Source organism: Homo sapiens, chromosome 5, assembly GCF_000001405.40.
Source record: "Homo sapiens chromosome 5, GRCh38.p14 Primary Assembly".
NCBI classification, from domain to species: Eukaryota; Metazoa; Chordata; class Mammalia; order Primates; family Hominidae; genus Homo; species Homo sapiens.
In genome coordinates, this window is record NC_000005.10 from 146,677,628 (window position 1) to 146,704,467 (window position 26,840).

Sequence of the window (26,840 nt, forward strand, 5' to 3'; positions counted from 1 at the left end):
AGTAGTTCTCCCACTGTAGCCTCTCAAGTAGTTGGGACTGCAAGTGTGCACCACCATGCCTGGCTAACTATTGTATTTTTTGTAGAGCTAGGGTTTCACCATGTTGCCCAGGCTAGTCTTGAACTCCTGAGCTCAAGCGATCCACCCACCCCAGCCTCCCAAAGTGCTGGGATTACAGGCGTGTACCACCACTCCTGGCCCGCTGTGACTATTTTCAAACCAAAGATTCCTAGTCACTGGATTACAAGCCCCATGAGAGCAGAGACCATACATGTCCATCATGACTATATGTATGGAATCCTTTTTAAATAAGTGGCAGGTAAGATTAATGTTAGGTTAGACAGAAGGAAACATTTGTGAACAGTGATTTGTTTTGGATTGGCTAATGGTTCTTTTCTGCTTCAAGAAGTCTCTAAAGTAGGATAAAGCCCCCATGGCTCAGAGGGTTAAAAGCCATTGCTGTTGGGAGGCCAGGTAACATGGTGGTTAAGAGAACATTGATGCAAAAATCCTCAATAAAATACTGGCAAAACGAATCCAGCAGCACCTCAAAAAGCTTATCCACCATGATCAAGTGGGCTTCATCCCTGGGATGCAAGGCTGGCTCAATATACGCAAATCAATAAATGTAATCCAGCATATAAACAGAGCCAAAGACAAAAACCACATGCTTATCTCAATAGATGCAGAAAAAGCCTTTGACAAAATTCAACAACACTTCATGCTAAAAACTCTCAATAAATTAGGTATTGATGGGACGTATTTCAAAATAATAAGAGCTATCTATGACAAACCCACAGCCAATATCATACTGAATGGGCAAAAACTGGAAGCATTCCCTTTGGAAACTGGCACAAGACAGGGATGCCCTCTCTCACCACTCCTATTCAACATAGTGTTGGAAGTTCTGGCCAGGGCAATTAGGCAGGAGAAGGAAATAAAGGGTATTCAATTAGGAAAAGAGGAAGTCAAATTGTCCCTGTTTGCAGATGACATGATTGTATATCTAGAAAACCCCATTGTCTCAGCCCAAAATCTCCTTAAGCTGATAAGCAACTTCAGCAAAGTTTCAGGACACAAAATCAATGTACAAAAATCACAAGCATTCTTATACACCAACAACAGACAAACAGAGAGCCAAATCATGAGTGAACTCCCATTCACAATTGCTTCAAAGAGAATAAAATACCTAGGAATCCAACTTACAAGGGATGTGAAGGACCTCTTGAAGGAGAACTACAAACCACTGCTCAAGGAAATAAAAGAGGATACAAACAAATGGAAGAACATTCCATGCTCATGGGTAGGAAGAATCAATATCGTGAAAATGGCCATACTGCCCAAGGTAATTTACAGATTCAATGCCATCCCCATCAAGCTACCAATGCCTTTCTTCACAGAATTGGAAAAAACTACTTTAAAGTTCATATGGAACCAAAAAAGAGCCCGCATCGCCAAGTCAATCCTAAGCCAAAAGAACAAAGCTGGAGGCATCATGCTACCTGACTTCAAACTATACTACAAGGCTACAGTAACCAAAACAGCATGGTACTGGTACCAAAACAGAGATATAGATCAATGGAACAGAACAGAGCCCTCAGAAATAACGCTGCATATCTACAACTATCTGATCTTTGACAAACCTGAGAAAAACAAGCAATGGGGAAAGGATTCCCTATTTAATAAATGGTGCTGGGAAAACTGGCTAGCCATATGCAGAAAGCTGAAACTGGATCCCTTCCTTACACCTTATACAAAAATCAATTCAAGATGGATTAAAGACTTAAACGTTAGACCTAAAACCATAAAAACCCTAGAAGAAAACCTAGGCATTACCATTCAGGACATAGGCATGGGCAAGGACTTCATGTCTAAAACACCAAAAGCAATGGCAACAAAAGCCAAAATTGACAAATGGGATCTAATTAAACTAAAGAGCTTCTGCACAGCAAAAGAAACTACCATCAGAGTGAACAGGCAACCTACAAAATGGGAGAAAATTTTCGCAACCTACTCATCTGACAAAGGGCTAATATCCAGAATCTACAATGAACTCAAACAAATTTACAAGAAAAAAACAAACAACCCCATCAAAAAGTGGGCGAAGGACATGAACAGACACTTCTCAAAAGAAGACATTTATGCAGCCAAAAAACACATGAAAAAATGCTCATCATCACTGGCCATCAGAGAAATGCAAATCAAAACCACAATGAGATACCATCTCACACCAGTTAGAATGGCAATCATTAAAAAGTCAGGAAACAACAGGTGCTGGAGAGGATGTGGAGAAATAGGAACACTTTTACACTGTTGGTGGGACTGTAAACTAGTTCAACCATTGTGGAAGTCAGTGTGGCGATTCCTCAGGGATCTAGAACTAGAAATCCCATTTGACCCAGCCATCCCATTACTGGGTATATACCCAAAGGACTATAAATCATGCTGCTATAAAGACACATGCACACTTATGTTTATTGTGGCATTATTCACGATAGCAAAGACTTGGAACCAACCCAAATGTCCAACAATGATAGACTGGATTAAGAAAATGTGGCACATATACACCATGGAATACTATGCAGCCATAAAAAATGATGAGTTCATGTCCTTTGTAGGGACATGGATGAAATTGGAAATCATCATTCTCAGTAAACTATCGCAAGAACAAAAAACCAAACACCGCATATTCTCACTCATAGGTGGGAATTGGACAATGAGATCACGTGGACACAGGAAGGGGAATATCACACTCTGGGGACTGTTGTGGGGTGGGGTGGGGAGGGAGGGATAGCATTGGGAGATATACCTAATGCTAGATGACGAGTTAGTGGGTGCAGCGCACCAGCATGGCACATGTATACATATGTGACTAACCTGCACAATGTGCACATGTACCCTAAAACTTAAAGTATAATAATAATAATAAAAAAAACCACAGCGTTGCACACACTTAAAAAAAAAAAGTTCCCAGAAATCCTGAAGTAAATAAATTTGCTTAACTGTGTTTAAGCTAGGGTTTCCTATATTACTTGAGCCAGAGACATTTGTGTGAGACAGTGTGTGTATGCATGTGTGTACCACTGCTTTTAACAGTTTTCTGGTAAAAAGAAAATAAACTCATCTGATCACAACAACAAATTACAAGAGCATGACCCACCTTCTTCCACCCAAACAAACACAAACCTAACACCTTTCAGGTAGAAAATTCCTTTCCTTGTTGCTAAACCATTCTAAGGAAACCAGAGAATAAAATATATTTTTCTGTTGAAAACAGTCTCCTTTAACATGAAACCACCCTTGTAAGTAGTTTTCTCCAACCAAGATCTTGTTTTTATGCGTCAAAGACAAGATAGTATCTTGCTATGCACACTACCCCTAGGGAAATATTTAAAATATTTTTCTCTGGTAAGGACTGGTATTTAAAATGCTTACATCAATGCATCAGTCGAAGCCCGGCTTGCAACGTACTAGGATCAAAGTGATCATGTCCTCTATTGAGTTGGATTCCAAATCCATTTGCACTAATTATTTTCTACAAAAATCCTAATGCATAATGAGCAGAGGCCCTAGAAGTCCTCTACTGATTTCAAATTAGTTCTTTGCATAACCTAGTAGCAAAAAGGGATCTAGGCATGTATTTTTGATCTTCTATTAGTAAAGTCTAGTTGAAAAATAAATAAAAGTCAGCTCTTTACTTTGTTAACATTTTTAGGATTCTTGAGCAATGCCCTGCTTGGGTGTTGTATGCCATGTACATGCCTGCACGCACCCACACATGCACGTGTAGTTTCGGGGACCGGAGACACACCCATTGCTCTAGCAACAGTGAGCTCACACTTCAGAAATGGGACCTGGTGTGGGCTGAATGTCTTTCCCATTACGCTTATAATTCAGATAATTTCATCTGAAAAATTCAGAAAATAAAAGTATTCTCTCCTTCAATCATCCAATTATCCTTGATTTTTCACTTCCTTTGAAAAGTATACAGAGAGCCCTTTAAATGAAAAGATGGGAGAATCACTCTAATAACTTCTCATTTGAGAAAATCCTATCTGGGTCAGTGTGAATCAGGTTTGGAATGGTGACAAGATCCTTACTTGCAAAGCCCTAAAAAGGCCAGAACTCTGCCCTGTCAACCTTCCCACATCTCTGAAATTCAGACCATTTAACAACCAAGGTTAGGGAAAGACAATGTGTCAGAGCCTGTAACACTATCAGGCTTTATGGCCAGGGAATCTCAAGATAAATGGCACCAGAGGCCATGGAAACATCCAGATTTTCTTCTGTAATGTGATTCTTTTCTTTTTCTGACACTAGTGGACGTCTCAGCTTGCCACTGCCATTGAGTGTACATATGGGAGGTGTCCTTTATTAGTTCCTATCACATTCAAGAAGCCATGGACACCTTCCAAAGGGTTTGGGAGCAAAAGACAAAGAGAACTCGATCCTAAACCAGGTATAGGGTTCTGCTTATATTTACGTCTATGTTGGATCTAATTACTACATGGTAAGTGCAGCATAACAAAGGTACCTTTGGGATGAAAGAAAATATTTTATTGTCAGTGAATACACTCTGAATGCAAGGCAGCGTAGGAGAGTCAGTACAAAGGCAGATTCAAAGCATAATGAATTGCTAGTCTCTAGATGTAATACTACTTCGAACTTTTCAATATATTCATCATGCTTTCCTGAAACTCCTAGTCTCTAGGTAAAAGACAAGATGGGAAAAAAGAGGAGAAAGGGATTAACATAAACTAAGCGTCTATTGATGGCAAGATATTATGCTAAACACTTCAACAAGTGACTTTATCAGCCCAACCTCTGTAAGAAAGTATAGTTATTATTCTGGAGTCAGCTTGAACCTGGTTTAAAAATATGGCTGTGCCACTTAGTAGCTATAGACATGAGCATGTCACTATAGCTCTCTAGATCAAATGTCCTCATCTGCAAAATGGGAATAACAGTAGTACCCACTCCACAGGCTGCCGTCTGGGCATAGTGAGATGGTACCTGCCTAGCAGAAGGCCTGGCACATAATACATACTTAATAAATGTCTGCAATAGTGTTACTATTATAGCACACTGGCAACTAAGTAGGCTGTCCCCCATGACTTGACCAGGAGTAAGAAGGGGAAAGAAGTTGAGTTATAAAAGGCACTAACAGCTCACAATCACAGAATCATCATGGATGCTCATTCTAAATCAAATCACTCTCTTAGTGTAAAGGCAACCACATTTTGATAATAATGTTGTCCTCAGACTGATCTATACAGAACCTTGAGGCAGGAGGAGACAAGAGGAAAAAGGAAGGGATTTTAAAAATCAAATCTGAGAATCTCTACTTTTGAGTAGAGAGATCATTATGCCAAAGGGTCTCAAACCCATCTGATCTTCAGGATGGCCAAGAATATGGCCGAGAAATACGGGTGGGTGTCTTGGCCACACTCCTGGAGATTCTGAGTCACTTGGTTGGAGATGACTTAGATGTTCCCAGAGTCTGATGATCATCCAGCTTTGGTAAGCCATGACCTAGTTTCATGTACCCTTCCTACCCCGCCTTTTCCCAAAATTAAACAGAAAGCCCACCTGTGCCCAAGGCACCAGTAACTTTTACAATCTCCTTGAAAAGTTGTTTTCCAGCCCCTGCTTACTCATATGTGTTTTGGCTTACACTGAATATTCAGATGCATATATTAGGCATTCTATTTTAGTACAAGAGGCAGGACAGCAGCTTGGGTTTTAGAGTCATAAAGACGTGCACTCAAGTCCAAGCATTACCACTTACTAGCCGTCTAACCTAAGGCAAGTTCCTTAACTTCCCTGGCTTCAGCTATCACATCTCTACAATAAGGATAATATCAGTGCCTATGTTATAGGTTTATCTTGAAGATTAAATTAGCCAATGCATGCAAAATGTTCTTGGAACATTAGCATAAATGTTAGCTTCTCTTTTAATTCCAACTGAAGTAGTTCCTTTGGCTGACATGGAACTCAATTATCATCATGTCTCTGAACATTAGCCAAAAATATTAGCCAATGAGCAGAACAGAAACATCCCAAACTCTCATCCCCCAAAGGCGAAACATGTCAAAACACAAAGGCTTGTCAGTGAGGGTAGTGGTTAAATTCTCGTGGAGGGCTTTCTGATCCCATAACTGAAACCCCATGACACTGACAGATACAATCAGATAATGATGGCAATCAATAATGATAACAGAAATTATTATTTATTTTCATAAACACAGAGTATGTGCATCCCACTGAGTTACACACATCACATGCCAGCATTCACTTTCAGGGCAGTCAATCAATGAGAGATCTCAATATCCACCCGCCGAGGCAGGATGGGGAGGATAGAGCGAAGGTTGAGAAATTACCCATACTAGAATGACACATTCACAAAGTTAATCTAATCCAGGAGCCGTTGGTGCCATTGCAAGCCTGTGAATATGGAATAGGCTTGATTGATTTTTCACTGCAGTAGCTAAACACGCCATTGTTATATGCAACAAATGTAAGGAAAGGAAAGATGAAACCATAAAAGGATTGGATGTGAAGCCCCCAGAGCAGCAATAAATCACAAAATGAAGTCTAAAAAAATTAAAAATGGTAGAGGAAGGCTGTATCTATGTCCTAAGAGGCCTCAGTTATCAAAGCATATACCGAAAATTAAAACCTGGGGCAGTAAAGGCTGATCCTGACTCAACCAATAATTTGCACTAAATCTGGCCTGGGGTTCCCCCTCCTCCCAGAATGAGTATTACGACATAGGTACCTCAGAGGGAGCAAGAAAGCCTAAAGGCTATAGACAGACAGAACGTGCTTCATTCCCAGTTCTGCCTCTTTCTAGCTGTGTGATCCTGATTAGATACCTGGCCCCTCAGAGCCAGTTACCCTCTTTTATAAATGGGATAATCACATCCACACCACTAGAAAGAAAGAAATGGCAATGCACATCCTGTATGCCTCAAAGGATCCTTGGGAGCATCAAATGAGATGCCCAACATGAAAGCCCATCTACCCTCCAGATGCATCGTGGAAACTCCTTCCTAATCCCGTCTCCTCCCTTTGTGCTTCTTCTGAACTGCCATGGTTATCTTCTGTGCTTTTCTCAGGACAGTTATCCTTCTCCATGATTTCTCAAAGTGTGGTCCAGGGACCACCTGCACCAGAATCACCTGGGCATTTTCTGGGAGGGGCCTTGTCAAAGATGTCATTTCTTAGAGTCCAACTCAAACCTTCTAAACCAGCATCCCTAGTGACGAGGCCAGAAATTATGTTCTAGGCAGAGTCCCCGGTGACCATGAGGCACACAGTCATTTAAGAACCAATGATTGAATTCATTTTATGTTTCAGCCACTTGTAACTTGTCTCCTCCATGCCCCCTAAGGACAGAGAGTGTGTTTCATTCATCTTTGTAAGAGCCACACTTTGTAGTGCATGCTTAGTACAGTGTGTAGCATAGTAGACACTGAGATACAAAATACATGGAAAAGTCCTGTACATCAGATGTTGTCATCCTCACTGTTGTTTAAATCAAGTGCCATGCCATAAATAGTCCTAATAATAGTGAGGAACAGGAGCTCTGGAGTCAGACAGACTCTGGAGCTCTGGACTCCATTCTTGGCTTTGCTGTTTACTATTTGCAAGGCCTTAAGCCAGTACTTACCTTTCTGAGCCTCTGTTTATACATCTCTAAAATGGGCAGGATGCCTAAGTCACAGAATGATGATAAAGAAAGGACATCAAACAACTGCGCCCCAAGCCTGTCACTAAGAAAGGCTGAATATGCACAGTTGCTACTATTAGTAAGCCTAAACCAATAGTCTGTTTAATCAGTTCTCTAGGAGACAAATCAAGTAAACTGTTTCACTCAGAGGATCTCTCTTTTGGGAAAACTAGCTAGTCTTTTCAGTCAACTTGCCTAATCTCATGACCTTTTAGCAATGGTCCTCAGGAAGTCCTCATTCAGGAGTCAGAGCTGGTAAAACTGAATGCCAGTTGGCCAGTGTCTTAGACGGTACCTATGGTTGTGTCCAAATTGCCACCAATGGGATTTGCTAACATCAGGGTCATTTTAAGTGGAAAAAGTTTAGTTCTGGAGATTCATGAGACTGTGAGTGTCCTGTGCTGACAGGAGGACAGAAACAGCCATTGTGTAAAATATGATGTCATTTGATCTTTCCTTTAAAAATCAGTGCATCCCTTGTGTACCCACCCTGTGGCAGAAAAGGCTCTGCAGCCCTCACCCCCCGCCTTCCACCCCACCAAAATCTAGCTTGTATGTTAAGAGAGCTTTGATAAAACGTTCTGAGAGACATCAATCAATAATAAAACATTCCTGCCCCATGGTCAGGAATATTTTCTTAAAAAGCAGAGCTGTAGAGAATAAGATGAAAAACATCAGATTTGGAGTCATGCGGACTAGGTTTGAATTCCAGCTCTTCCGTTTTCTAGCCATGAGATTTTGGGCAAACTTCTTGGCTACTCTAAAACACGGTTTCCATTTCTGTGTAATCTGTTCACTTGACAGATATTTACTGAAAGTCTACCATGTGCCATGGATTGTTCCAGGTGCCGGAGTTGCAGGAGAGAACAAAACAGAGTCCCTGCTTTCATGGAGCTTACAGTTTACTGGGGGTGAAGAGGAGGCAGACAGCGAAGAAAATGCTAGACAGTGACAAGAGCTAAGCAAAAAAGGGCAGAGAGAATGAATGGGAAATGTGGGTGTGCTCTTTTCCATAGGATACCCTAGGAGGGCCTGATAGGTAGCACTTGAGCAGAGACTGAAATGAAGAGGAGGCTATGGCTTCAGATGATCTGGAGAGAAAAATAGAACCTAACCGAGAGAGATATTATGAGGACTATGTGATATTAAGGATATAAAATCTAGTACCTGGCACATAGTAAGCACTCAATAGATGGTTGCTATAATTATTTTTATTTGTTGTAAGGCATGTTTGAATAAAATCCATTCGAAAAATTGTATTCATCACATCACCTTCATTTTGGGAAGGTTATGACCAGTCACAGCTTGGGAGCTCATATTTGTAACAGGTAAAAATGCCGATTTCAACCTGGCCTAGGTTCCCAGGGCACTGGCAGCTGATAATAATGAGAAAAAGAATACCTCCAGGCTTACCCTGCAGGGAGAAGTATGCTAAGTGTGATTTCTCACCACCCAACTTCCATTTCAGGCTGATTAAGTCACTTTAACGATGAGCTCCCATTACCTAGAAAGAGCTCTAAGGGTCTGTTACTCCTGGGCAGCGGGAGGTTGGGGAAGAAGGGCATGGAGGGTCTTCTGAAGTAAAACTGCATAGGGACCTCAAGGCCTTTGTTTCTCCATTGCTGAGGTCAGAGATCTGGAAAGTCAATGTGTAAGTGTGTGTGTATGTGTGTGTGTGTGTGGCAGGGACAGTGGTAGCGGGGAGTGGTGGGGGGAGGGAGAGAGAGGGAGAGGAAGAGAGGGAGAGGGAGAGAGAGGGAGCGATTGATCGATTAATCCCCTCACCTGGAATAATAATGGCACTAATTATTAAGACAAACATTTCAAATGCCCAGATGTATATGTCTAAGTTTAAGAGCCTAACTCTTGATTTTTAGTCCCAGTCCTGGAATAACCAGTTGAGGGATACTGGGTAAGTCATTTTCCCTCTCTGAGGCTGCATCGGATCGAAGGGCTCAGGTCCCAGAGCAAAGTAGATCAAAGCTTGGTTCTCAGCCCTGCATGATCTTGGGTATTCTACTTAACTGCTTGGAGCCTCATTTGTTAAATGGGCATTTTAACACCCTTTGAGGTAGCTAGTGCAGATAGAGAGTGCAGCGTGGTGCATGGTATATGGCAAATGATCAATAAGTGCTAGATACCCGCATTTTCACCTGCTAAATACCTGTCCTGCCCTCCTCATTGGCTATTCTGAAGATGAATCAAGGGACTAGGTGAGAAAACGCTTGTAATAGAAATGGTACAACTGTAAGGCATTATTATTAAATTATTACCATGATTATTGCTTTATGTTAAGTTATGATATTGAGCAGGGGATATAGTTTTCATAGACATGCTTCTCATGGGCTCTTTTGGTAATGAGATTGATTTTGAAAGGCTATCTTCTATGAAAGATATAGTCACATTCTTGCTTTGAAAAGCTGAGTCTCTCAGCGCTGAAACAGAACAGGTTCATTACACAGTAAGGATTAATTAGCTGTCGGGTATTATTAAATGTTCTCACTCTCAATACCCACATAGAACTGGAAACTATGAAAGTGAGCAAGAAGTAATCATAGTACAGGGAAGGGAAAAAAAGACACAATTGCTGGCAATGCACATTTCAAGAGGAGAGCGTGTTAGTAAATTATAGTCTGATTAATATCACGTCAGCTCATTCTCTGTTTGGAGTCATTGTTCTGAATCTAGTCTTCAGGGTTGCCTGCTTTTTTTTTCTTCTACCACTGGGATCAAAAAGAAAAGGAAGCTGGACTTTTCAGTGTTTAAAGAGTGCTGTGGTGTGGATGTTTACACTGAAATGCAGGATATTTGAGAGCCTAGGAAAGGAGAGGAGGTAAATACAGATACTGGTATTTATAATTATATAGCAAATATAACATGTCCCTCCAAAATATAACAGAGGTTATATAGCAAATATAACATGTCTCTCCAAAAAATAACAGGTTCATAAAAATGATAGCTTGAAAAAAAAAATGATAGCTCGAATGGGCCTTAGGGATGATAGAGTCCAGTGACCGCAGACCCCCTTGTCTCAGCCACCAGGGTCAAGTGTTGAAAATGCAGATTCCTCTGGGCCTCCTCTCTGGAGTGGGTCTCAGGAATTTACATTTCCCAGTCCTCTGCTTGGCAGCTTAGAAACTAAGCTTGGAGGGAAGAAGTATAATTCATCAGTTAGGTTGTTAGGTTACACAGCTGGTTAGTAAGAAAGCAAGAACCAGAGTTGGAATTTTCCAACTCCCAGCCACACCTCAGGGCCTCCTTCTCTGTTTCATCTGAAGTCCACTTCATTGGCATCACTGGCTTGGCATGGGGAGGATCTCTGCTCTCGTGGAAACTGAATAGACCTTCTTTGCTCTTTATCATAGGGATGGAATTCTCCCAGGGGTTAAGCACAGATATATGAAATCCCATAGGATGCCATGGACAGTAGGATTCCACGGTGGGGTCTACAGATGTCATCTGAGAAATTCCATCCACATAGCAAACAAGGGCAAGGTAAAGTCTGGGCAGAAGTTCACGGTATAAACTCTACGTGGCACTTAATCCAGTTGTTTTCTCCATAAGATTGCCATGTCTCGAGGGGCAAAAGACAGTCTTATTCCCAATATATTGCCAGTACGGTGTTTGCCACTTAGTAAATCTCAGTGAGTAGTTTGTAGAATAAATACAACAGTATAAAAAGTATAAAAAGAAAAATAACTGAATTGTCTCATATATATAGGCCCACTATCAGTAGGGGGTAATAATAGCCATGATGACGATGATGTTATTAATACTAAAACAACAGAAGGGAACTAACATCATTGAGTGCTTTTTGTGAGCCAGCACTACACAGGCTAAGCTGTTTCTTACACAAAATAACTTATTGAATCCTCACAACAATTCCAGGAAGCAGTGACTATCATCATCCCCGTTATATAGATGAGACATTGGAGGCACAAGGTATTCAAATATAGCCACATGCCACATGATGTTTTGGTCAATAACACTGGTTCCATAAGATTATAATACTGTATTTGTACTGTGTCTTTTCTATGCTTAGATATGTTTATATACACAAATACCATTGTGTTATAATTGCTTACTATTCAACACAGGAACAGGCGTACAGGTTTGTAGCCGAGGACCAACAGGCAATGTAGTCTAGGTATATAGTAGGCTATACCATCTAGGTTTGCATAAGTATACTCTATGATGTTTTCACAACAATGAAGTCACCCAATGATGCATTTCTCAGAATATATTCCCATCATTAAGTGATATATGACTGTCATATGCCCAAGGTCACTAGCGGAAAGTAACGGAGCCAGAATTCTAACCCAGGCTGGACTGACTCAACAATAATACTCTTCACTACGCTACTTTCCAGCCTCCAAAACCCCTGCACATTCAGAGCATCAAGCCTGGATTTATGCCAAGTCCACCCAGAATGATAAGGTGGACTTACATGGAGGTTCTCCAGAGCTGAAAGCATAGGCTGATCAGAGGAAACAGAGTCGCCAATGCTTGTGAGCTCAGAAGCAGCTCAACTGAAGACCATGTGCCCATTAGGACAGGGTAAACACCTAATAGTCTAGCATGGTGGTCAGCACAGAGTCTATATTCAAAAAGTAACTGCTGAATAAGCAGATGTATCAATAAATGAATTATTAAACAAATAAACAAGTGAGCTAATTAAGCATACAATGACCATCCCATTTTGGCTTTCAAACATAGGGCAAGAACCTATTTTCCTCACATCTACTTCACTGTCTCCCTTCTTACTTTTGGTCTTTAGCAGAGCTGCTGGTGTCTGAAATCACATATTTTACACAGTTTTACAAGGCTGTTGGGGCTAGGGCTATCCCAACATGTGCCTGCTTTACTGCTCACATTGAACATGTTCATAACTGAGCTCATCATCCAGTCCTAAACCACTTTACCTTACATCTAGAGACCCTTCCCTTAAAAGATCGCTTTGAGAAATCCGTTTTTAATGCCACTTTCCTATGAGAACTTTTCTGGTCTCCAAAAACCACAGCTAATTTTTTCCTCCTTTTATCAAATTGCAACTCTCCAACACTTTCTCAATGCATTTATCTTACTATATTTAGTGCCATAATCATTTGTATATTAGTCTTACAAATCCTCTTTATCAGGCTATGTATTTCTGAGGAACAGGAAGGAAGCCACTCAGACTGAGTAGAGATCATATATTGAGGACCAGCCATAGAGGAAGGGTTTTCCATCCTTGCACTTCTTCCTCATAAGTCCACGAGCAGTACGTACTGTGTTCACTGTTTTGCAGATGGAGAAATTAAAATTAACTTGCATGTTGAAAGCTCGAAAAGGTTAAATGACTATTGGGAAATTTGGGTAAGTGGCAGAATTTGAAGCCAGGTCTGTTAGATTATTAAGTTTGTGTTCTGAATCACAAGACTGCAACTCGCCATCTGGATTCTCATCCCTGTACCTTCAGTACAGAAGGTGCTCAAGACATTTTAGATAACGTGAACAACAGAGGCTAAGATTATAGTAACGTCTGGCAGTGGCCATGTGGGCAAGTCTTCTGGGACAAAAGGAAAAGCATGGATTTGTAGTCATTAGAAGGCTTGGCACCTTTCCTGCTTCTCCATCTGCCACCAGAGAGAGACTGGGGTAGGCTGAGTCTCTGCCTACGTTCCCTCACTGGCCCATTATAGTTGCAACCTACAGTAACAACCAGCACATGGCCAACCTTAGGAGACCTGCCCCTGACTGTGGTGGCCAGGGCAGCTGTTTGCACTCACCCGCAGGGTTGTGATGGTGGCAGGATCCCGGAGCCGGCCCTCCTCATCTTTCAGATTGTAGCCTTCTGGCCTCTTATCACGCTCGCTGACTTTCCACAGCTTCACAGTTTTATCTGTAGTGGGCAACCAGATTAAGTCAGAATTATAGTGAAAAGCAAGCTCATAAGGGAGTTTTCCTGGGGGCAATGGGGAGAGGAAGAGGTAAGGATGGATAGAATTGCTACAGAAGCTGGCTCACATAAACGTTTGGCGTGCATAAATCCCATGTCATTTGAAGGCAGAGCTCATATTTCAAAACAAAAACATACATTATGCTGGGACAAATGGATTTCCCTGATAATGGGCTCTTAAATCTATAGCTTATACCTTAATTCAGCTCATTCAATAAAAGCATTTATTGAGCATTGAATAATAAGAGTGCAACATACACAGAGCTTACAATGTAACTAAGAATTTTACATGAAAAATTGGTTTAACAGTCATAACTCTGGAAGTAGGTGCTATTATCTCTATTTTAGCATCTCACCTCACTAACACATTGTCCTTACCATGTCCTAAAAGGCCCTTCATGACCTGCCCTCTCCACTTTCTCCACCTTTCTGACCCCCCTGTCCATCCTCTCCCTGCTCACTCACTGTGCTCCAGACACATGGCTTCCCTACTGCTCCAGGTACACATTAAGCTCACTAAGCCTCGGGGCCTTTGCACTTGCTGTGTCTTCTGTCTGGAAAGTCCTTTACCCTCTTTTTCGTATAATTTGCTCCTTTACTTTCCTCTTGCGCTTGCATCCCAACCTTAGAGAAGCTTATGTAATACCTACCTAAAAATGCTGTCCTCAGAACCATTCTCTATCTCCTCTCTCCTGCTTTATTTTTCTTCATGATACCTTTTACTACCTGACAATTGGTTGATTATTTATCAAATAACTATCTGTCTCTTTCACTAGAGTGTAAAATTGTTGAAGGCAGGGATTCTATCTATCTTGTTTATCACTGTACCACCAGCACCCAGAACAGTGCCTGGCACACAATAGCTGCTCAATAAACATTAGTAGGGCAAATGAACAAATCTCATCTACCTGCATAGTACATATTTCTAGCAATATTCAGGGAAATAAAATGGTAAGGAGATACACTGAAATGTTCCTTTCCTTTTGCTGCCTCTATGGAGTCTCCAGCTGGAAACTACCTTTCTCACCTTTGTACTGCCCCAGCACTTTTTACAACTTGATGACACCTGGCATTCTCTATAGCATTAAAACAGAGAACTCCTATCCCTACAGAACTCCCATGAGAACTCCCATCCCTACACCTGTCATGCAGGCCAAGGAAATGAGTAAAAAGGGCTAAAGGATCTGTGGAGCTGGAATGGCGTGCCCTACATGCAGGCTTTTAATTCAATTTTTTTTTTTTTTTTTTTTTTTTGAGACAGAGTCTCGCATTTTCACCCAGGCTGGAGCGCAGTGGCACAATCTCAGCTCACTGCAAGCTCTGCCTCCTGGGTTCATGACATTCTCCTACCTCAGCCTCCTGAGTAGGTGGGACTACAGGCACCCACCACCACGCCCGGCTAATTTTTTTGTATTTCTAGTAGAGACGGGGTTTCACCGTGTTAGCCAGGATGGTCTCGATCTCCTGACCTCTTGATCCGCCTGCCTCGGTCTCCCAAAGTGCTGGGATTACAGGCGGGAGCCACCACACCCGGCCTAATTCAATTATTTAAGGAGACAAGATCAGGCAAACAAATCATGTCTGCTGGCCACATGCTTTGGTGGGCTTGCCTTATCAGATCCAGTGTACATTTTTTATACTTGTTTTAACATATCTTTTTGAAGGCAGAACTTGGTTGCCTTCTTTGTATCTTCCTCTGTCTTGCACAAGGTAGGGTTTGGAATCAGACAACCTTGGGCCCAATCCCCACTCTGACGCCAGTCACATGTCCAAGGACGGGGATTCCCACTCAGTAGGTACATAACCCTTCCTCCCTTCCCTCTCTCCTTCCTTCCCTCCCTCCCTTTTTTCCTTCCTTCTTTCTTTCCTTCCTTCCCTTCTTCCTTCCCTTCCTCTCTCCTTTCTTCCCTTCCTCTCTTCTTCTTTTTTTAAATTGAGATAGAGTCTCACTCTGTCACCTAGGCTGGAGTGCATTGGCGAGATCATGGTTCACTGCAGCCTTGTCTTCCTGGGCTCAGGTGATTCTCTCATCTCAGCCTCCAGAGTAGCTAGGACCATAGTCACATGCCACCACGCCCAGAGAATTTTTCTATTTTTTATAGAGACATGATTTTTTCATGTTGCCCAGGCTGATCTCAAACTCCCAGGCTCAAGCAGTCTGCCCACCTTTGCCTCCCAAAGTGCTGGGATTACAGGCATGAGCCACCACACCCGACCACAACTAGTATTTCTTAAGCAACAAATAGGATTGCCAGATTTAGCAAGTAAAAAAATATAGAACACCCAGTTAAGTTTGAATTTCAGATAAGCAAAAAATAATTTAGTATGAGTATATCCCATATAGTTCAATCTTACAAAGAAAGATGGTGCCTCAGTTTCTTTATTTGTAAACTGGGGAAACAGTATCTTCCTCATGGGGCTCTGATGAGGATTAAATAAGTCACAGCATGGAGAATGTTTAACACAGTATTAGGCTTCTAATAATGGTCCGCAAATGACAGCTTTTATTAGAATTAGCAAATTGGGCAACTATTCTGCCATAATAACATGTTGCTCTGACAGCTTTAGCTTCAACCCTCAATGATGTCAGCACATCCTATTTCTTATCTGTAACACTGTCAGGGGAGAAAAGCCGTCCCTCTGGGAATTCCTTCCTCTTTTGCCCCTTGCTCCATTCCTCCACTTCTCCTCACCTGACTTTTTGCCACCACCTCCCACTTCTCATGCCTTTGGGCGGACAGATCTTCTAAGCAGGAGATGTGGATCACAGTACCATTCGCCTTGAAGCTGCCAGAAACAAATGCCTTGTTCTTGGAGGTCTTAATGAACCACATTGTGAAGTGGGCTTTCAGCAGCAAATAAGTGCCCCATTTTCTTGTATCTGGGCATCACTTGGGCTGCTCGTGTCTGACACACTGGCAAGGCTGCTAAGTGTATGATTTGTGCGCTCTGAATTGTGCCGTCACCCTGGCTTGCGCTGGAGCGAAAGGAGATCCTGCTGCATACCGAACTGCTTTTTAGGGTGAGAAAATGAACATGGGCCATATTTATATAGTCACGTGATTAGCTCTTGATCAGCTGTGGCTTAGAACATCCCCAAAATTTTAATACCAAATTTTTTTTGTTGCGTGGCTTTGGAATGTATCCCATCCCATTTGCAAAGTTAACATCGTATATTTTTCTTATCATGAATGATAAATTGCTATACAGAGAAACAGAGAAATCATGGGTATAACATGAAGAATAAAAATCACCTACAACCTCTCCAGTCAGGAACGATCATCGTCAACATTTTGCATAAATCCTTATAGTACTTTTTCTATGTACTTTGGGGGGAGAATACAAATCTGTAATATTGCATATATAGATTTTGTATTTTCTCATTTTATTTCCTTCTTTTTATTATACAAGCGATACATGGAATGTTTATTAAAATAATCATAAAGGTAAAAAAACTCCCTTAATTCCACTAGATAGAGATACCTATTATACAAATTTTGTGATTTCTTTTATATTTATGTATACAATTATGTAACTGTTTTTAGTAAACATAATATGGCATACTTAGTTTACAGTATGCATTTGCCTAATCATATTTATCTATACCAACGTCTATCCCTGCAAATATATTTATAGGGATAGAATATATTTGTATACTATAACGTATTGCATATATGATTTATAATAGTGAGAATTTGTTAACAGCTAAAGGACTAATCGTAGGAGGCTTACTAGTAAACTAAAGAAGAATCATACAAGGAAATACTATGTGGTCATTATGATATTTTAGAATATTTAACAATTGGGAAGATATTCCTATTATTAAGTGTTATATTAATAAAAACCTAGTTACAAAAGAGTTTGCAGAATATATCATATTTCCATTAAGAAACAAACAAATTTATTTGTATCTTTTTGCTTTTTACTTTAAAAGACTTAACAGTGGTTCTCTCTGGATGGGAACACTTTTATTATTTTTGTTTTTCTATATTTTTTTTTCCATGAACATGTACTAATTTCATAGTGAGAAAAACAAATTCAGTATACCCCACTTCTCATTATAGGTATTGAAGTGGAAGCAGAAAATGAGGTAAAACAATGTGTTTTTATGTCATAAATAATTTGAGAGTCTAGATTCACAATTGAATGTTGGTTTTATTTTTTATTGAAATTGTAAGTTTGAAAATATATTCTAGCAGAAAGTAAAAATTGTTCCTAACTATAATAAGATAAGCAGTATATTTTCTTAAAGATAATTGATAGTGAATTCAATCCAATTCCCCATGGTTGGGTTGCCTGGAGTCATTCTTGACTTTATTATCACACTTTTTTTCTTGACTCAGTATCTTGAAGCTTTGTGAATAAAAAAGTCTAAGGAACATGTGGCTGTTAATGAGTAATGACTTTTTCTTTCTTCTTGCTGGTTCTCTGAGTAGTTTATCATCGCTTGTGGCAGCTTTTAAACACAATCTTATCATCTATCTTCATTTTCTCTTTTGTACAGTAATTCCAATTGTCTTCCATTAACTTTTGCATGTTAACCTATTTGGCCTAAGGGGGATTCTCAACCTCAATATTAGTATAAAAAAGAAAATTACATAAGAACATGGGAATTTTTCTTAGAAGAATCATTTTGAGATGCTGTTGGCATATGAAACAGTATCCCAAATGGGAAGATAATATCCTTGTTAATCAAAAAACTATTTAAAAACTCAATTAACAGAATATTATGCTATATAATTAATCTTCATTGCATTTCACTGATTTTTTCCCATCCCCCCGCCAACAAAGTAGTTAATAAATCCTTGAGTTTTTTTTTTTTTTGAGATGGAGTCTTGCTCTGTCGCCCAGGGTAGAGTGCGGTGGAGTGATCTCGGCTTACTCCAAGCCCCGCCTCCTGGATTCACGCCATTATCCGGCCTCAGCCTCCCGAGTAGCCAGGACTACAGGTGCCGGCCACCACACCCGGCTAATTTTTTTGTATTTTTAGTAGGGACGGGGTTTCACCGTGTTAGCCAGGATGGTCTCGATCTCCTGACCTCATGATCTGCCCGCCTCGGCCTCCCAAAGTGCTGGGATTACAGGCGTGAGCCACCGCGCCTGGCCAAGTCTTCGAGTTTTAAATGCAATAATCAATAGGCTAAATTTGAGAATATAAAGTGAGTTAGCTATAGAAGACAATCAGACATTTTTCCTCTGCCTAAAGTAATTAAGTCAAAATCATCAGAAGTCTCTTTTATTCCAAGTAGTGTTGAATCTGCAAAGCCCGTTAGTGAAACTTAAATAGCAAAATTAAAAGGAAAGAAATTGAAACAAATTTATGTGGTTTGGCTTCCAAGAAATCAGGATTGCAAAACATAAACAGAACAATAAATATAGTTATGAGAAAGAATCAAACTACTTGGAGTCTGGAAAAACAGATGAGTAGAGATCTGGTCATGAGGAGATGAGATATGCTTGGATAATCCTAAACCAGCTGCGTCCGAATTGTCATTTTTTTAGACTTCTATGCTGGCTTTATATTTGAGAGATTTGGGGTTCAAATGCATTAAATAACTTTCCGCTTTTTTCCATAAGATTAATATGAGACTCATTGTAAAACTTTACAAATTAAAATGACAAAAGGAACAAATTGACAAGTTGCCCATACTGCACAAAAATTAATCATGATGAACCTTATGTTGTATTTCCTTCCAGTCTTTAAAAATATTCATGTATGTTTGATCACATTATTGACACTGTATTTTTTCACTTGAAATATGAACATTTCCCTTTCTTTTTAAATCCCTTGCTTCTTGCTTCTCGATTTAAATTAAAATGTATATTCCTCATAGACTCACATATGAGATAAAATGAATCATTCTCCAACTCATTTTCTTGGGAGAGAGTGTTTAATTTTTAAATACGAATCCTCTTAATTGTTATGCTATTCAATTAGCACCCTTTAACATGTGACTTTATGCCAAGTTGTTTTGAGCTTAGATGGCTTCTTTTAGCAAGGATTTAAGAACCTGGAGGTTAGGTAATTCCACTGTATAAAGACTTACCCAGTCATTATGTAATTTGTCTCTCTATTCAGTACCCAACATCCTCTCTCTCTGACCTATTTATGTCAACTCCTCCTCATCCAACAAATGGTGTTAAGTATGGAGGGAGATAGGAAAAGAAACCCTTTCTTGATCAGTTTTTTGATAAAGTCCCTATCTCTTCTTGCCTTGTGCTCCTATCATAGAAGTTAATTTTTGTCAGAGAGACACACAGCCATCTGCTTTACAGACCCTAAAATATATTCAGGGATTAATAACTTCTATTCAATATGCCAACCTCACAGAGACAGCATGTTGAGTTTCCTGAAATGTATTCCCAGAATAACATTCAGTGAATCTTAAGACAGGAAGTCACATTCCAAAAACACCTGCAAATAATCTGCAATAGTTGAAAACTGCAGATAATGGGTCTCACATAATTGGGTCATAAATTTAATATTTTAAAAAACAGTAGTTACTATTTATTGAGGGCCGAATCTGTGTGTGCCAGGCACTCTGCTAAGCATCTTGCAAATGTTATTTCTAAGTTTTTCAACAGCCCACACAGTTCAAAGGAAATTGAGGTTAAGAGAGATTGAAGTATATAGTTTGGCCGACTGTATCTCTGAAAATACCAAACAGGAATTCCACCTACCATTAGTAGACAGAAGAAAGTAAGCTGCATTCTGCTGGGGGAGCCATCTTATTTTATTGATTTTTTCTTCTATTTCTAAACTCTTCAGGTAATCGAACTCGGGTTCATGGCTCTGGAATGTGCTGTAAACATTGTATTCACCCCTACGATGAACCTGATTTTTACTCTGTAGGAAAGGAAAAAAATACACAACAGATTAAATCACAGTAGCCAACTGTAAAACTCGCCAACTCCCTTTTTTTTCCAGCAGTCATTGGGGGTGGGATGAGGGCAGGGCCATGAGGATGAGGGCAGGGCCATGATAGTCACTAGCACCTCTGAAAAAAAAAAAAAAAAAAAATATATATATATATATATATATATATATATATATACACACACATATAATTATACACATGAACTTCTGTACTATCATATAGTATACATAATACATACATAGAAATATTAAAATAGAACAAAATTTTAAAATCAATATAAATAGAAGTTCTAATATTTTCTTTTTGCATCCTAACAGATGCTGCAGTCACCCTTTGGAGTGAGTCATCCCACAGTGGCATTCGTAAATACTTACATCGACCCCTTAAAGAGAGTACAAAATTGTAGCATCTATGACTTTCATTGGCCTTTTAAGATCTCACCTGATTCTCATGAAATCTCTGAGGTAGGGTGGGGCAAGGAAATGGACAAAAGAGGCTCAGATATTAAATGACTTTCCCTAGGTCTCACAGCTCATAAGGAGCAGATTTGGGCATCAGATATGCCCCTGCTCCTTTTTTTTTTTTTTCTTTCCAACATGAGTGACAAAGCAGACAGGAGCTCAGGGATGCTACCTGCATCATTAAGGAATGATGAGACTTTACCTCTTGGCTTTCCTCTAGCGCTGATTATGCAATGAGCAAACAGCAGGGACTACATACATGATGAGAGAATTAAACACAAGGGCAAGGGTCTGCAGAAACAGGAAGAAAAAGAAGAAAGGAAGAGAGGAGAAAAAAAACAGGATGTGAAAGAAAGAAGAAGAAGAGGAGGAAAGTGGAAAGGGAAGTTTTATTTCAGATATTTTAGGTCCTTATTACCAAGAGCTTCAAGAAGCAGGCTTTGAAAAACTCAAAAATTCAAATATGAGTCTTATTAAACATTTGTTATAAAAGCTTGACTCTTAATAAAAGGGTTAATTTCCAAATGTATATTTCTAGGTGGATATAAAATATCCAAACCCAAATCTCAACTTACTGACCAGTGAGAGTGCTGAACCCTGGGTGTGTAATGTATTTGTGCAGACTCTCTGGGTGTGTGCCTCCTGAGAATTCACTCCTGGAGCTCACTCACTGAAGTCAAAAGCAGGTCTGCCCTAGATGATGTCACATGGGTTTGTTTCTCGGATTTAGTGCTCATTTTAATCCCAAGACTGGCCACAAAGCTTAACGCTTAACTGCAGGTTCTTTATCCTCACTGACATTTATTTTTTATTGAACAAAACTACCCTGCTTTAGAAAATGTGTCCCCCATCATTCTACGAATGAATCAGGCTTCCCAAATATTTCACTAAATTAAAATAGGTGAAACCTATAAATAGCTAATGGAAAATGTAGAGCAGAATATTACTGGCAACATGCTGCCTTGGGTAATTTATGCTAAATAGCTCCTCCGGTTCCTCTTTATCATCACTGCGAACTTAATTGGTTTTTTTTTTTTTTTTTTTTTTTAAGAAAAAGCTGGAAAAGGAGGTTTGAAAATGAGTGTTCAAAAGACTTTAAATGCTGACATACTTGGTACTATCCTGCTCATTTGCAGAGAGAGCCAGTCCACCTTAACAATACATTTATAAGAGTGTTGATTTGCTACCATCCAAATCAGACTGTCAAGTGTGTGTAGTATGTGCCAGACCAATTAGCACTAGGCAGCTCTGGAAAAGCAGGAAAAATTCCAGGTCATGAAGAGCTATTAGTTTCTACTTGCCAACCACATTTTCGTGTTTCCAGGGCCAATGGAATAGGCTGGATGCCTGATTTAATGCTGAACACTTGAATTTATATGGAACCCCGAGGGATTACGATGCCCTTATAGAAATTAATTGCAAATAATGTGCAATTACTAAATATATCACCTCTAAATGAGGCTTTCCTTTTTTGAGGGGAGGTGTACTGCAAGTGGCTTTGAGGCACAAAGCAGGCTTTAAATTGCTAGGGAAGTCTCTTGTGAAACCTTCCTCTCACACTGGGCCTCTCTCATGCTTCCCGAGTGCCCGGTGAATCTCAGAGGCAGGCAGTGGCAGATGGGAGAGCTACTAGAACACAGACTGGCCTGCTGGAAGCTCGAAGACCATGCCAGGGGAGGCCAAGGAAATCAAATTGGGCCATAATTCCATTTTGACAAACAGAAGCAGACACCAAAAACCTCAATTTATATGAAAAAGAGAAACAATTCCTAGTGAAACCCATGTCTCAGGAAGAAATGGGTTTATGAGAGTTACTGGAAGTTAGAACTCCTGCTCAGAAATGGTCCTATATGTAGCACTCAGCTCCAGGGCCCTCTGTGTCACCTACAGTGATACTGTGATGTGTGTCATAAGCTTTACTCAGACGCTAGTTTGTGGCCTTTTACCCCCTTAGGTGAGGTAAGCTATCATTTTCTTCTCTGCTGTCCCAAGTTGTCCTCTTCACATCTGTTGGCAAATAAACTATGTTTTTTTCCTCCTGCATATTCTGGCACACCTGAAATCAAGGGAGACTGAATTTCAATGGCTCTATGACAGATCCCATTGAAAAAGGAGGAGTTACGCTCAACAAGCACCCATGGAATTTTGCAGGTCAGGCGAGAAGTGAAGTTGTTTTGCAGGTGTAACATCCAGGCGTAGAAAGATAAGGCCATGCCCAGAAAAGGCTCTCTTTTACAGGGCTTTTATGAGTCTGAATGTATAACAGTTGATGTTAATGACTTTTTTGGCAGTTTTTAGTTTTCGAGCAAAGCAGCAAGGTTAAGGGCGACACATAAGGATTAAGGAACAGTAGGAGGCCTCCTTTAAAAAGTGAAGAAAATGGGCATTTTGCATTCACCACCACTTACCTCCTGCTCTCGTTGAAATATTACAACCCGACCCCCCTTGTCCCCTGTCGCTAGTAATTCTCCCGTGTGGTTGAATTCTACCGTAGAGATAATGTCAGCTGCAAAGAAGAAGACAAAGGCAATTTAAGTAACTGCACACTTACTTTGAAAGGATAGATAATAGATATACTTTTCTGTGCATTTAAGGGCTTAGGGCTTTGTCTCTGCAGTGGAATTTACAAGGATGTTATGTTCTGGGTTTTAAATGCCACCAGAAGTGGCACTTGGGAAGTAAATTTCCTAGATGCCCACACTGCACAGTGGTCTCCTGGAACATCTGGAGAGAATAAAAGGGAAAAACACATTTATACCCTTTTAAGGAAGAGAAAATTAACTTCATGATGGCTGAAGGAAATGGCTATTTTCTTTGATGATTTCTACCAACCACAGACCCTTCGTGCATCCACGGCCTTTACACCAAGAATCTTCCCCACACAGGCTTCAGTTCTGGCTATTCAAATCAGGGCTGGGGGCTGTGATGAAGCAGGGTTAGGATGCTTGAAGCTTAGACATGGAAAATGGAGGAACAGAGCACAAAGAAATCATTGGGAAAACTCTGCCAGTCGATAATTCAAGGAAGGAACTGACGAATGCTCCAGCTTGGCCCGTGCCCCTTCTTTTTTTGTGAGCCCAACACATCCTTCTGGAAGAGCATGACTTATTTCAACCCCAGGAGAAGGGTGCTGAGAAAACAAGGTCATAAGGGCAGAGAAGTGAGGGCAATTTGTACTCTGTATTTCTAATCAGAGAAAATGCACAGGCACCAGGAACTCAGATCACAGATAATTGCTGAAGGAATGCCAGCCTGCCAAGTCTTTCTTCTATGCTGGTTACCCCTGGAGGAACATGGACAGGTAAATTACCTATGATTGGATTTATTAGGGCTATTTTTAGAAAAATGTCAGAGGTTAATTCCCCCACAATTATTCCCCTGCAGGGCTCCAACAATTGCTACCAAGAGTGCAAATGAGTTAAAAAAAAAAAAAAAAAAAGAGGCAGGGGAATTATGACTATGGCCTTTGACAGGAACATTCTGAAGATAATGTCTAGGTAAGGAAAGCAAAGGGGAAACAGTGAGGTGGAAAACTAAGGCAATTACCCCTGAGTAATTCTGATCTCAAATCTTACTTTTATATCATTATTTCAGGATTTTCTTTGTATGCCTGATTTATTCAGGTAAGTAGTGTAAAATTCTCCACTTCACATATAACTGTTCTTTTCCATGTATGAAAAGGCTCCTTATGGTCATTCATTGTGCAGAAGTTAACAAAAATAAGGCATAAACCTTGGTCACTTTCAAGCTAGACACATTTAAAAGAACAATTCTTGATTTCTTGTTTTGACTTCTTAGATAATTGACCTCCTAGATAGCAAATACAAAGGCCTGCAGGGCCACAAAGTAACATAGGTGAACTAGAAGGACTATGTATGTCTCCTTTAAAGGGGCAAGAGGCTATTCAGCTTAAGCTGATTGGGGCCATGATTGCCTGTATTGCCATGTATTGCCTGATGTTCTCATTGTTTAAATATATATAGGAAGCTGGAAATCAGGACTTTTATGCAAAAATCTCTTAAAGTTTATACATTGGCAAGTATTTTTTCCAATGCCATGAGAATGAAAAAGTTAATCATATCTGTGGGCTGAATGTGGTTTGTGGGTTATCAGTTTATGACTTCTAATGTACAGAGTCTTCATTTGGAATAGGCTATCTCATTCCAATACTGATGCTCTTAACTAGAAATCTAGTTCATTTTCTCGAGAAGACTCCAGTGAATACTACCTTAAGGAAACACAAAATAAGCAATATGGTTACTAAGTTCCAGATGTAAGTTTAGAAGGTCCATTTATGTAACCAATGCCCATGAATTGAGAAGAAAGTCCAGCCAGTGAGAAAGCCAGACACCTCAAGTGAGTTATTTGACCACTTTCCTTTGTTACAGTTTGCCCATCTTAGCAAACTACTCCCATGTTTAGACGAGAGAAGGCATCTACTTAACATTTGCAGTTGCTTCAGATTGCCCTGCTTGAAAGTACCAGTGCTAAGTTACACTTCTAACATTAACCACTGCTTCTGGCTTTTCAATGAATGGTTAGCAAAGGGTTATTCATGGGGCTTCCAAATTTGGGTACAGCCTAAAGCGGGCATGTCTATTGCTTTTCACTTTTTGTCTTTGGTCAGGTACAAAGGCTGGTCCAGTTCAAGGCTCTTGAACTGCTCAAATACAAACATTTCTCAGAAAGAAAGAGTAGCAGGAAATAATGAGAGGGTGGTGGGAGCCAGGCCTGAGGTTTACAATGCCTGGCTCTTGTCTCAGAGCTACGTTCTAAAGTTCTGCTTACATGCAGTCTATGCCCTTTCACTGGACAGTGATTAATGCAGAACACTAGAGTTCTGGGTGGGCTGCAAGGGCCTTACAATGAGAACTAAAGATGGGCCTTTCCTTTTGGTGAAGTTGGGTATCAGAAGAGAGTTAAGTAGCTTTTCCCAGTGTGAGCTCTTGGCTCAGTTGCCAAGAAGATATTACTCCAAGGGCAACACTTGCTTTCCCAGGGGATGACACATACATTTTCCTTCTTCCTAGACTCTGAAAATGTCTTTACTCTCACTTTAAGACCCATGCAAGTCAAAACAAGGCAGGATTCAAGTGGAAGTCAAAGTCACATGATTTAAGCCAGTATTATTAGAATTCTGCATTATGGAGTATTAGGCATGGTCCCAGGTAATACAAATATTTCCTTTGTTTTCCAAGTGTTATTATTTTGCAATGCTATGTCTCCCTCAAGAACCTTGTAAGAGAAAGGGTGATTTGCATGGCAGGATTCTGAAATTCCTTAGCCCTCTTGCAGAGTCCTTACCTTTATTTTAATTCTACTAGCCAGCTGCTCTGTACATGAACCTGTTTATATCATGCTATTGTCTACTTCCCTTCAGAGAATAAGCCGTGGCAGCTCAAGTTAATACTTGTTTTGAACTTTCATGTTTCCTGACTCATTTATCATTGCTAAGCCAGTAGGTGTAACTGGAATACTTTACTGCCCCATCCATCTCTGCATATCTTCATCTATGACTGTTTAATAATTGATGCAAAACTCATGAATCATTATACATTCCAATTTCAAGATACTGAAACTTCTGATACAAATACTCTTGTGTTTGCAGCATGCTCTTTGGTAAGGCAGTTTAAACTGGAAAATATACTGCTCAAGACAAAATAATTTTGTGATATGGTAAGAGGATGTAGTAATAAGGTAGCAAGTTTAGAGATAATAACGTCATTTGAAATCATGATCCACAGAAATCAATTCATCAAGTTCAACATGGCTTTCACCTTTAAATTGTAAGTTTATATGACAATTCCACATTTCATTAACTGCTCAGCCTA

The 26,840-nt window shown here is 40.1% G+C and overlaps 1 protein-coding gene across 10 annotated transcripts in view; it reads right to left on the minus strand.

Moving 5' to 3' along the window:
- The window catches only part of PPP2R2B (protein phosphatase 2 regulatory subunit Bbeta), a 500,779-nt gene that overhangs the window by 96,886 nt on the left and 377,053 nt on the right, over positions 1 to 26,840 (minus strand). For all 10 annotated transcript variants that reach the window (NM_001271900.2, NM_181676.3, NM_181674.3 and 7 more), the window contains 3 exons: positions 23,418 to 23,515; positions 20,352 to 20,517; positions 13,501 to 13,613 (listed from right to left, as the gene is read on the minus strand). In NM_001271900.2, coding sequence (NP_001258829.1) covers positions 13,501 to 13,613; positions 20,352 to 20,517; positions 23,418 to 23,515 — 377 coding nt within the window. The remainder of the gene's footprint in view (positions 1 to 13,500; positions 13,614 to 20,351; positions 20,518 to 23,417; positions 23,516 to 26,840) is intronic.